The sequence below is a fragment of the Homo sapiens genome, chromosome 9, assembly GCF_000001405.40.
Source record: "Homo sapiens chromosome 9, GRCh38.p14 Primary Assembly".
NCBI classification, from domain to species: Eukaryota; Metazoa; Chordata; class Mammalia; order Primates; family Hominidae; genus Homo; species Homo sapiens.
The window spans coordinates 39,050,402-39,064,198 of NC_000009.12; the positions used below are offsets into that span (position 1 = coordinate 39,050,402).

A 13,797-nucleotide genomic window follows, 5' to 3' on the forward strand; every position below is an offset into this window, starting at 1 on the left:
CACAAAAATCTGTAGCATTTCTACATACCAACAACATCCAAGGTGAGAGGCAAATCAAGATTGCAATCACATTTACAATACTCACACCAAAAATTACCTAGGAATACAGCTAACCAGGGAGGTGAAAGATCTCTATAACAAGAATTAAAAACGCTGCTGAAAAAAATCAGAGAGGACACAAATATGAAAACATTCCATGCTAATGGATAGGAAGAATCACCTTTGTTAGAATGGCCATACTGCCCAAGGCAATTTACAGATTAATTACTATTTCTATCAAGCTTCCAAAGGCATTCTTCAGGGAACTAGGAAAAACTATTCTAAAATTCATATGGAACCAAAAAAGAGCCCAAGGCAATCCTAAGCAGAAAGAAAAAAGCTGGGGGCATCACATTTCCCAACTTCAAATGATACTATCAAGCTAAAGTAACCAAAACAACTTGGCACTGGTACAGAAACAGACACATATAGCAGACCAATGTAGCAGAACAGAAAACCCAGAAATAAAGCCACACATGTAAAACTATCTGATCTTCAACAAAGTTGACAAAAGCAAGCAATGTGGAAAAGACTCCCTATTCAATAAATTGTGCTGGGATAATTGGCTACCCATATGCAGAAGATTGAAACTGGACTCCTTCCTTATCCTATATAAAAAAATCAACTCAAGATGAATTAAAGACTTACATGTAAAACCTAAAACTATGAAAACCCCAGAAGAAAACCTAGGAACTACCATTCTGGACATAGGCCTGACAAAGATTTCATGATTAAGATGCCAAAAACCATTGTAACAAAAACAAAAATTGACAAATGGGACCTAATTAAACTAAAGAGTTTCTGAACAGCAAAAGAAACTAACATCAGAATAAACAGGCAACCTGCAGAATGAGAGAAAATATTTGCAAACTGTGAACCTAACAAAGGTCTAATACCCAGAATCTATAAGGATCTTAAACAAATGTACAAGCCAAAACCAAACAACTCCATTAAATAGTGGGCAAAAGACATGAACAGACACTTTTCTGAAGAAGACATACACATGGCCAACAAGCATATGAAGAAAACGCTCTACATCAGTAATCATTAGAGAAATACAAAACCACGATGAGATGCCATCTCACGTCAGTCAGAATGGCTATTACTAAAAAGTCAGAAAATAACAGATGCTGGCAAGGTCGTGCAGGAAAGGAACACTTACATATTGCTGGTGGGAATGTAAATTAGTTCAGCCACTGTAGAAAACAGTTTGACAATTTATAAAAGAACTTAAAACAGAGCTACCATTCTATCCAGCAATCCCATTACTGGGTATGTACCCCAAGAACTGTAAGTCATTCCATCATAAAGATACATGCTCATCTATGTTCACTGCAGCACTATTCACAATAGCAAAGACATGGAATCAACCTAAATGACCATCAGCAGTTGAAAACATGGTACATATACACCATGGAATACTACGCAGCCATAAAAAAGAATGAAATCATGTTCTTTGCAGCAACATGAATGCAGCTAGAGGCCATTATCCTACGTGAATTAACACAGCAACAGAAAACCAAATACCAAATGTTATCACTTATAAGTGGAAGCTAAACATTGAATATGCATGGACACACAGCAGGGGACAAGACATAGGACCTATTTGAGGGCGGAAGGTGAAAGTAGAGTGAGGATTAAGAAACTACTTATCAGGTACTATGTTTATTGCTCCAGTGATGAAATAATATGCACATCAAACCCCCATGACACACAATTTCCCCATGTATCAAACCTGCATATATACCCCCTGAACCTAAAATAAAAGTTGGGAGAATTAGAAAAAAAAAAGGAGTGCCTAACTTGGGGGTTGTTGTAATGTTCGCTTAACAAACACACAGTCTTTTGGGCATCTAAATCACAGCACAGAGGCTCTGGGGCATGGGATCTAGTGACCTCATACAGTGGTTGAGATAATCAGAATATAGACAGTATCAAACATATCTAATTACTTTACAAATTTCTTCTTGAATAATGTGAGTAGAGCATTATCCAGTAGCTATCTGAGAAACCCCAAAGACCTTTAGATACGAACAACATTTAACAGCTTTATTCCCATGAATTCATAACTTAAATTTATAAAACAAAAACAACAAAAAGAAAGAAGAATGGGAGACAGGAAGAAAAAGAAGAGAAGAGAAAAGAAAAGAAGAAAAGAAAACAAAAGAAAAGAAAAAAGGAAGACCCAGAATTTTAGAGAAAACTAGAAATTACAGCAAAAGTTAGACATTAGTTTCGGATACCTATTATAGGCGATGATACTTTAAACAAACAAAGCAAGAGGAAGTCTTAGAAGTGAGAAACCTTTGCCATAAATGATTGAAGATCCTGACCAAAACACACAACTTATATTTGAAGACCAAAATTTCGAAATGATTTTTATAAGCTGTTAATCTTGATATAATTATATATATACATATACGTGTGTGTGTGTTAAACATACTCAAATAGGTGATAAATTTAAACTTTTTAACTCTAATTTTGAAATAATTACCTTTACTAACAAATAATGGGTAAATATATTATCTTTAATTTACCAACTTAATAACCTGCACACTTTTTAAATCAGACAACATATATTCATTATCAAGTGTACATATTCTCTTTTCCCTGTACATATTCCTCTTGAGGGATGATATATCCGAAATAGTGCCTCACTGTGGAAATAGTTTCTGCCTTCTGAAACACAACTTGAGGATATAACAGAATTTCCAGCAGGGAGGTATAGTTTGAAAAGATTCCAGAAACGATTCTGATACCACACTCACTGTTGCGAATCAATGACAATATGTCACTTCCATTTGAGAAATTAAATAGTAAATGATGTTTATTACTCCCTAGATTTTAATGTAAAGTTTAATAGTTCAGTTTAGTTTTATACATATTTTGTCCTAAGCAGTTTACAGATCAATATTTTTAAAAGTTTCTACTTTTTATTAATTTCATTAAAGTCCTTTAGATAAAGTTAGACTTCCTGGAATCCTTATGTTTGGCAATGAATTTCCAGATTGATTCAGGTTTATAAGGACAAATACATGTGACACTACAGAAGTGTGAGGGAGTAGGACTTACATGCTTTTTCTAGGGCCTCAGTTGATCAGAAGTGGACAGCAGCTGTTCTATCAAAAACTCAAATGGGGTTGTGGGGATTTGCCACCTCAACCTCTTTCCCAGAGCATATTAGGAGGACACAGATAAAAGGATTCAATAAACGCATTGGCAAATTATAATGTGAAAAGTCACCACTGTGGGGTATTATTTGCTATGTAGCTAATCCCTCTGGGGACTCTCTGAGACAGCCCATGGAACGTGTCTCAGAATCTTCCTGTCCACTGATTGCTATCCCGCATTTGTTGGATGTCGCCTCCAGGGACATTGTCCCCTCTTCCTGCCACACACATGTAATTCTGGGTTGTTTTTGCATGTGTCCAATCTTCGATGCAAAACTCTTCCCTGGGAACAGTGACAAGGCAGACTCTTGAGATGGAAATCTGTCAACCTTACTAGAACTTTCTGTTGAACTCAGGAACACTGGGGAACACTGAGGCATCAATACCATATGCTTTGACATGGTTTTAATACTCTTTCCATTTTAGGTTTTTTTTTTTGTCTTAAATCTGAATGCAGTCATGTTTTTCAAGTTTTATCCTATAGAAAGAACTGCCTTCCTATGAAACCACAGCGATTAAAGACATAAAGCTGCAGATTTCATTGCGATAGAAAACCCTACTTTCCTGCCTGTTGGCGGAACACTTATTAGGAGTTTGCAGAAGCAAAGTGCAATTATTCTCCATGATGCCAGGACCTACATTATTCATTAACGTAGAACAAAACTCAGATATATTATTAAGTGTCCCAGATTATTCATTTGTGAGCAGACTACCAATTGTCTTTCCAAATGAATTTTCTTTGTTCTCAGTACTTTTGATCATATTCAAAATCTCAAAGCTTTCAAAATTTTCAAAATGGGCTCTCAAAATAGAAAATGTGATCTAGTGAAGCTGACTGTATTTACAGTTTGTTATGAGCCGAATGCTGTGTCCCTCTAAAACTCCTAAGTTGAAACCCTAGCCACTAATATGATGGTATTTGGCGATGGGGCCTCTGACAGGTCATGAGGTTTAGGTTAGATCCTGGAAGGAGGCCCTCATGAGGAGATTAGTGTCCTCATAGGACGAGGAGCCAGAGATCTTCTTATCGCTCGCCATCCCCCACACACTCAGGGAAGGCCACGTGACGCCCAATGGGAAGGAGGCTGACCACAAGCGAGGGGCCAGGCCTGATCATGAACTAGCACCTTGATTGTAGGCTTCTCTGCCTCCAGAACTGTGAGATATAAATGTCTGTGGTTAAAGCCATCCAATCTATGCTATTTTTTCTTTTTCTTTTTCTTTTTTTTTTTTTTGAGACATAGTTTTGCTCTGTCATCCAGGCTGGAGTGCAGTGGTGCGACCTCAGCTCACTGTAAGCTCCGCCTCCCAGGTTCACGCCATTCTCCTGCCTCAGCCTCCTGAGTAGCTGGGACTACAGGTGCCCGCCACCACGCCCGGCTAATTTTTTTTGTATTTTTTTTAGTAGAGACTGGGTTTCACCGTGTTAGCCAGGATGGTCTTGATCTCCTGACCTCGTGATCTGCCCGCCAGGGCCTCCAAAAGTGCTGGGATTACAGGTGTGAGCCACGGCGTCCGGCCCAATCTATGCTATTTTATTACAGCAGCCTGAGCTGACTGGCTGTTATTATTGGTAGTTACTGATAGTTATCTACTTGCATGTCCAAAGGAAACAACGCAGCTACCAATTTTTTGGTGATATTCTTCAAATGCTAGCAGGAGACTTGATTGATTCTGGAATGTGTAATGAGCTTGACAGAGGTACCACTAAGAATCCTTTTATCTGTTTACAATTCACAATCCTGCGATGCCACTTGCAGAGAAAAATGCTGATCAAGGTTTCGTGGATGAGATGTTGCTTCTCAGGGTAGCCATATCATCACACTATTAGAGACTACAGACCCCTAGAACTTGGCCTTTTGAGGTATAGGACCAGGAGAAGGGGTTGAAGTAGATGCAGGTTTTCTAAGAGCATAGGATCAATTGATCAATTTTCATTTGAAAAGGGCTGAGAGGTCAGCTTGTAGAAAATAAAGACCAAGAGGGAGAAGCAGCAAAGAGCTACATATTAGTAGGAGGTCAGCTTAAGAGCTAAGAGGGAGCAACCTCAGGGCCTTATGGCAATTAAAGATATTGAATATCAAGGAATTAGAAGGATTTAAAGAATTATGACTGAGAGTCTTCTATTGTATTCACTTTGACACAGTTCATAAGTCTTATGGACTTTTTACTTGCCTTTGTTGGCTGGGTTTCATTTTTTAAAATTGCAGTTCTACAGAGATACTTAGCCATGAGGCAAGACAATTATATTTGTGCTACTCAATTAAATTGTGTTACATCTTAATGTCAGAGTCTATGCTCTATAAATTCTACCAGTAATTTTAGATTTTATGGTCTGCTTCCTAGCATCAGGATGAACCCCTATGGCAACCCTATTCTTATCCATTGGAGCAAAATGATAACTTAATTGTATAATATATCAAAAAAGTGTTTTGTAGTATTTCACTAGTTCTTTGCCTTTGTCTCGTAATTGGCTAATTGAAATTGGGATTAAATAACTTTAATTTTCACATGGCTACAGTTGTAAACAGAGTCATTTTTTCCCATAATACATCAACATTTGGCAAATAATTTCATCTCCTGGGTCTTATGGCAGAATTTTCAGAACATCCTTAAAAACTGTGAATGAAATGACTTGGCAATTGAATGCTGAATGAAAAAGAAATACTTAAAACAATTTAGTCTACTTTTAATCATTTTCATTAAAAAAACTTTGTTAATCATAAAGTAAGTTTCCCAGTTTATGCTATTAATTCTCCATTGTTTTCAGATAAAGCACTTGTAAACTGTTGAACATTTTTATGAAGTGTTATATCACAAATTGGGGCTATTGCATAAATGTTATGTTATTCTAGCCCACCTAAAATATAACTTCTTTCTGCACTCTACTCTTCTTCAAGTTGTCTTATGATATCCAAAATTTGCACCATCATTTTTTCACTCAGGAAAATACTTTTGGACAATTAAATTATATGTATTTAACACAGTGTTAAATGATTTATGGTATTTCTTAATATCTGAATATTTTTGCTGAACCACTGAGCTTATTTGGCATAAATTATGTCAAGCATTAAGAAAATAATAAGTTATCCTATAGAGAAATTTTATGTGTTTAGAACTATTATTATTATTATTTTTTGAGACGGAATCTCGCTCTGTCGCCCAGGCTGGAGTGCAGTGGCGCGATCTCGGCTCACTGCAAGCTCCGCCTCCTGGGTTCACGCCATTCTCCTGCCTCAGCCTCCCAAGTAGCTGAGACTACAGGTGCCCACCACCACACCTGGCTAATTTTTTGTATTTTTAGTAGAGACAGGGTTTCAAAGTGTTAGCCAGGATGGTCTTGATCTCCTGACCTCATGATCCACCCGCCTCGGCCTCCTAAAGTGCTGGGATTACAGGCGTGAGCCACCGTACCTGGTTGTATTTTGAATTATTTTTGTGGAATAATACTCTGTAGATTCCCTTGGCTGTCATTATCCCAATAACCAAAAATAATATCTCTATCACAGGCAATAGTGCATATTGGCTAAGAGATTGGGCGCTGGAGTCAGACAAGAGCCAGACTGCCTGAGTTCAAATTCCAGCTCAGTCATTTATTAAGTGAATGTGTAACCACACAAAACCAGTCTGGTTCTTCAACTTTTATGTAAAAAAGTTATGAATAGTTTTTCAGTTGCCATGGACTCCCAGGCTGAAGGTCCCATAACCTGAACATGCCCAAATGAACCAAACTTGCAATGATGGGCGGAACTTAAGTGCTCAGCCCAAGAAGTGGGACTGAATTAAAAAGGGGACACTGCATGGCAAGATCCAGGATCCAATCAAATGGAGCCCTTGTGGTACCCCATGGCAGGATTCAGTCAGATCATGCCTCCCAGCATCATCTCATCACAAGACCCAATCAGATAACACTTCATTACCCTATTCCTATAAAACCCAACTCAGCCCCCAGCTCAGGGAGACAGATTTGAGCATTTTCTCCTGTCTCCTTGCCAGTCAACCAGCAATACAGCTTCTCTTTTCTCAAGCCTGTGCCATGGTATTGGCCTCTATGCACATTGGGTAGCAAGCCCATTGATTGTTTGATTACAAATGACCCTAGGGAAGTTATTTAAACTAATTCTGCTTCAGTCTCTTCATTTATAAAATGGGAATATTAGGAACTCACTTCACAAAGTTGCTGTGAGGATTCAGTGACTTAATCTATGCAAATCATTTAAGACAATTCCCGAGATTTTATGATTACCATATAAAGATATCCAAAGACTATTATTTCCAATTATATTTGTTCCAAAGGGTAGATTTCTTCCTCTAAATTTCCACATTTCTATTAGATATTTGCCAAAAACGGGGACATATTAATGTTTTATTAATGCATGCATTTATCTATTTACTGAATGCTATTTAAATGTGGTACACCACTGTCTAGATGTTAGCAATTTAGAGAAAGTAAAATCCAGTCCCTTTCCACTGGATTATGATAAGGGGACTATCATAGTGGGTATAATTTGAAGACAAGGAGGACCCTAGTAGAAGATGGCAAATCAGAAAACTTTACTTTGGTGGTAGCAGAATTTAAAACATCCTTCATTCTTAGTTGAGATGATAAATTATTAGTCTCAGCTCTTCTTTAAAATAACTATATATAATTAATAATAAGCTGAAATTAGCAGTTATATTTCAAATATTCCATGTACCTTCATTTATACTAATTTCACCTCAAAACTGGGGTTTGGTGTTATTATTTTACATTGCAAATGGCATTAAGAATCCAATGCTGTGTTAAGTATAGCATCTGCCGGATAAAAATATTAGGACAAGGCCGGGCACGTTGGCTCACGCCTGTAATCCCAGCACTTTGGGAGGCCAAGGCTGGTGGATCACGAGGTCAGGAGATCGAGACCATCCTGGCTAACATGGTGAAATCCCATCTCTACTATAAATACAAAAAATTAGCTGGGCGTGGCAGCGGGCACCTGTAGTCCCAGCTACTCGGGAGGCTGAGGCAGGAGAATGGCATGAACCCGGGAGGCAGAGCTTGCAGTGAGCCAAGATCAGGCAGGCCACTGCACTCCAGCCTGGGTGACAGAACAAGACTCCGTCTCAAAAAAAAAAAAAAAAAAAAAAAAATTAGGACAAAAGAAGTTCATTAGTCTTAAGAACTAATTCAGGATATTTATTATATATTCTACAGACTATGGACCTATTTATTAATGTATTTTTATAATATAATGTAAAGTGTCCTACATAAAGCGCTCATTTTGACAAAGATATTTCTTTTCTCCACGTGTTCAATTTGCCAGACAAGCAATATACTGTGTAAGATGTAAGAAAAAGTCCCACATTTTCAAAATTATGGTAATTAAAAAAGTTATTGGATGAAAGAGTCTATCCTTTACCAAATAAAGGCAAAGACATGAAGTGGTTCTGCTAATTTCCCCATTGTCTAAATTTATAGTCTTTAATTCCTTATTTTAATAATATTATTTTATTTCTAAGTCATTTTGATTTAATAACATTCAGGTTTTAATGATTTCAATTATTTTAGAACTGACTACTCAAATATTTAAAATTAATTATTATGAATGATTAATACTAAGACTTTCAATAATCTGAATAATCACACATAGAGGGTCATTAATTATAACACAAAGAAATGTACTTCTGAGCAAAATCTAAAATATTGCCTAAGACTTTAAGTTTATTTTTATTATCTTATATAATTGATGACAACTAGAATGATTTTTCTTTTTGGATTACTGGCAGGACATAGCTGTGTAGTGATCTCAGTAATGATTATATATAATAACCCTTAAAATTACCAAGCACATATGTAGAACTTCTTACATATTTTAAATTACACCTACTTACTGGGAATGACATACTTTCACCAAATCTCATAATCATATGCTAAACAAATCTCAAAGGAACCTTGGAGGGCTTCTGATTCATTATCTCTTTCTGGGTTACATTTGTCCTAAATCATGTTATTTCCTTTATTCCTGTAAAATGAGTTAATGTAATAGTGAACAACAACTTCCTGGCCAGGTAATTCTTTCTTATGTTTAGTCCAAATTCCTCCCCATAAAACATATGTACGTCTAATTTTTCCTCTGTCCATGGAAACTGAGAACAGTTGCCTAGAATAGACATGACTCTCATGAATAAGACACATTTTACTGCATGTTACAAGACATTTTTGAAAGTTTGAAATTATGAAGTCCCTACTTAGGGCTTAAGTCATTAAGGGCCACAAACACTAATAAAATTATTTTCCTTAAACTCTTCTCATTTTCTATCATATGTTATTTAAAGTGTTATCCAAAAAAAAAAAGAGAAGAAGAAGAAGCCTAACAAACGCGCCAAAGTTAAATCAGTATCTTTGCCAATTTTCTAACTGTAGAAGTTTGGAGCCTTAGGCCAGTGCTGGACCTGGCTGCTGGGTCATCCACACGCACCTGGAAGGGAACAGGAATACACTCACAGGAATACACTCTCCAGTGCACACGAGCTCTGCTTTCCGACAGTTCACTGAAGACATGCACCGGTCACATCATCACATCAGTCATCAAATTGAGACAACCATGCTGATGAAAAAGAACGATGATCTGTAGGATGGTTTTATGAAAGAGCCAGATTTGGAAGGCTAAGGAAAGGTGCCTCAAGACAGTGTCTCTTAAGTTGAGATCAGAAGGAAGAGGAGGCTTTAATTAGTATAAAAGAGGTGAATGGAGCAGGGTAGGATAGAGAGTTTTAAAGAGAAAAGTCAGCAGAGCCACGTCCTTATGGTGAGAGGGAGCGGGGAACAAGGAAGACTTAAAACAAGGTACATAAAAGAACTAGAACAGGAGCGCAGTCTTCTGTGTTCTTTGGCTTCACTGGCTAAGAATAGCTAAAGTGGTTACTCTGAGTTGGGGGATGTATAGATGCTCCTAATAGCCAAGAGTTTAATTGTACATTGGAAATCAGAAACTATAAAAAGATGTTGGCCGGGCGCAGTGGCTCACGCCTGTGGTCCCAGCACTTTGGGAGGCTGAGGCGGGTGGATCACGAGGTCAGGAGTTTGAGGCCAGCCTGGCCAATACAGATATCCCAGCTACTTGGGAGGCTGAGGCAGGAGAGTTGCTTGAACCTGGGAGGTGGAGGTTGCAGTGAGCCAAGATCACGCCACTGCACTCCAGCCTGGGTGACAGAGCGAGACTCCATTTCAAAAAAAAAGATGTTTATCTTCCTTACTCAGATACCATATAAAAAAGCTGGGATTTTGCTAAATTCAAAAAGAAATTACATACACCCTATATTACAAATACTAAAAACTAGTCATCAGCTAGCCATCTATTGTTGCAACATGTCTTTGAATAATATATGTGTTTTCATTATATTTCTAAATTAGGCAATTTGTTTTGTTATTTCAAATCACTGGGTTTCGTGTTTCAATTGCTTAACTAATCAACCCAGAAGATCCATTGTGGAGTCCATTTTTCACAGCAAATCTAAATTCTTTTTCCACACAACCATTCTTGTCCATCCTGATGCAATTCCTCTAGACATAATCACAGCGGAGAAGTGCAGAGCACACCCTGCCAAGGGGCATCTACTGAAGAGATACTGACAATGGCAATTTAAAGATACTTGTTATTTCCAAAGTTGAGAGAAAGAGCCTTGTAAAAATGTGTATCTCTTTGCTGTAAGGATGCTTATTTAGAATTAACTACAGTAGTTGTCTATTTATCCAGCATGTTGATTTCAAAGCCCAGTTCTTTTTATTGAGCTACTTTGGAATTAAAATTTTTTATAATATTTACATATAGGATTAGGTTTCTAAGCCAATTCCATCTAACTGCTAGTAAATTTATTTTGTATATAGCACAAAGAATTGAATTCAATCCCAAATTCTCTCCAGCATACTAACCAAATTTAAATAAACATATGTGATGAGCTAGCAATGGTATTTCTGAATTTTCATATTTTTATTTTCCTTGGCTTACATTTTCCATATATCAAAGTCTCTTTTGAAAATTAAACTATATAATATAACCTCAATTTTAAAACATCAATGATAAGCTGGATTTAATCAACTCAGAACCCAGTGAGGGAAAACATGTTTTACTTGCTTTTATTTTTAATCAAACAGAAGTTGTATTTTGTTGTCATTGCAACATATCAGCGAATAAGCGATCTTGGAGAGCTAGGAGCAAGTTTAAATGTGTACATCTATGGGCAAAAGAACAGCTTAAACTACTGTGAGGCGGTCATTTTTCCTCCAGTGTTTCTTACGCCAGTGTGGAGGCAGCTGGAGACCTGGGAAAGATAGCAAAGACATTTATCTTTCTTTCTTTCTTTCTTTTTTTTTTTTTTGAGACGGAGTCTCGCTCTGTCGTCCAGGCTGGAGTGCAGTGGCGTGATCCTGGCTCACTGCAAGCTCCGCCTCCAGGGTTCACGCCATTCTCCTGCCTCAGCCTCCCGAGTAGCTGGGACTACAGGCGCCCATCACCCCGCCCGGCTAATTTTTGTTTTTTTTTGTATTTTTAGTAGAGACGGGGTTTCACCATGTTAGCCAGGATGGTCTCGATCTCCTGACCTCGTGATCCGCTCGCCTCGGCCTCCCAAAGTGCTGGGATTACAGGTGTGACCCACCACGCCCGGCCGCAAAGACATTTTTCTTGTGACAGTTTTAAACTTGGTATATTTCAAAATAGCACAGATGTTTTTGAAACACTTGCAGTAGAAATAGTGATGTTGTATTGGTTAAAGAAAAAGGCTTATTTTTTTTTTTTGAGACGGAGTCTCGCTCTGTCGCCCAGGCTGGACTGCAGTGGCGCGATCTCCGCTCACTGCAAGCTCCGCCTCCGGGGTTCACGCCATTCTCCTGCCTCAGTCTCCCGAGTAGCTGGGACTACAGGAGCCCGCCACCAAGCCTGGCTGATCTTTTTTTTTTTTTTTTTTTTTGTATTTTTAGTAGAGACAGGGTTTCACCGTGTTAGCCAGGATGGTCTCGATATCCTGACCTCGTGATCCACCTGCCTCGGCCTCCCAAAGTGGTGGGATTACAAGCTTGAGCCACCGCGCCCGGCTGAAAAAGGCCTATTTTATGTCTGTTATTTCCATCTTTATGTCCATGTGTATTCTTTGTTTAGGTCCCACTTGTAAGTGGGAACATGCAGTATTTAATTTTCTGAGTTACTTCACTTAGAATAATGGCTTTCAGCTCCATCCATGTTGCTGAAAAGGACATGATTTTATTCTTTTTATGGCTGCATAGTATTCCATAGTGTATATTTACCACAAGTTTTCTTTATCCAAGCAACACTTAGATTGATTCCATGACTTTGCTATTGTGAATAGTGCCGCAATAAACATACAAGTGTGGGCGTCTTTTTAATATAATGATTTCTTTTCCTTTGGGTAGATGCCCAGTAGTGGGACTGCTGGGTCGAACGGTAGTTCCATTTTTAGTTCTTAGAGAAATCTCCATACTGTTTTCCTTAGAGTTTTTACTAATTTATAGTTCCACCAACAGTGTATAAGAGTTCCTTTGTCTCCACATCCTTGCCAACATCTGTTGTTTATGACTTCTTAGTAATAGCCATCTTGACTAGTGTAATATGATATCTCATTTTGGTTTTGATTTGCATTTCTCCGATGATTCGTGATACTGAGCATTTTTTTAATAAAGAACTCAAACAACTCAGTAAGAAAAAAAATCCCATTAAAAACTGGGCAAAGGACATGAACAGATGTTTCTCAAAAGAAGACATATAAGCATAAAATAAAAAGAAGACATATATGACATAAAATGCTTAACATCACTAACCAATTTGGGTTTTGGTTAATTGGATTTAGTGAGGGTCTGAAGGTACAGGTAGACATGGAGAAATGTTGAATAATATCATTTAGTGCAAAAACTATTTGGAAAGAACATAAGAATTGATGAATTTTTTTGCAATAGATCTGTCTAAATTCCTTGGAAAATTACAAGTGGTGAAGATTAATACATGTGCTATTATTGTTGTTTTTCATTAACTGTTTGCTATGGAATCATTGAAGAAAGTGATAGACATGTTAGAAAGACAGATTTCTTTAGAGTGGTATATACTCATATTTCTTTAGGGTGGGCAAATTAAAATCACTGATCTGATTGTGGCATATATAACTACGGTCTTGCATCCTTTTGGCCTGAAATATTCTCCTTCTAACTGAGAAGTATGTGAAGAGAGAAAGCATTCATTGCATATTCATCTGAGCAGCTTTCTAGAACTGATCCAGTCAGACTAGAAAAATTCTACCAAGCTCAAAAATCATCACACAAAAAACAACCACTTAGAGTCTCTGGAAACTGTCCTAACAGAAAATGTTTTTGAAATGGCATTATATTCTGTTGGACCTAATTAAATCCTTTTCTCTCTTCGCATAGTAAGGACCCATAGTCCCTCCCTGGTGACACTTCCTACTTCAGCTTTCCCTTGTTCTCAGTTTTAGGTGCACCCTACCTCAAGTTCTTACTGCTTCTGCTCGTGGGACTATAACAAACACTACTTCTTTTACCTCAGTAGGACATCACAGCCCATTGCTTCCATGCATCCCAGGA

General features: G+C 37.7%; 1 annotated feature.

Annotated features, from left to right (window-relative positions):
• Positions 4,268–4,468: a silencer, noted in NCBI's record as "peak7241 fragment used in MPRA reporter construct". NCBI's record gives its function as "represses an SCP1 promoter by STARR-seq MPRAs in K562 erythroleukemia cells {active_cell/tissue: K562}" and the evidence as "EXISTENCE:reporter gene assay evidence [ECO:0000049][PMID:32103011]".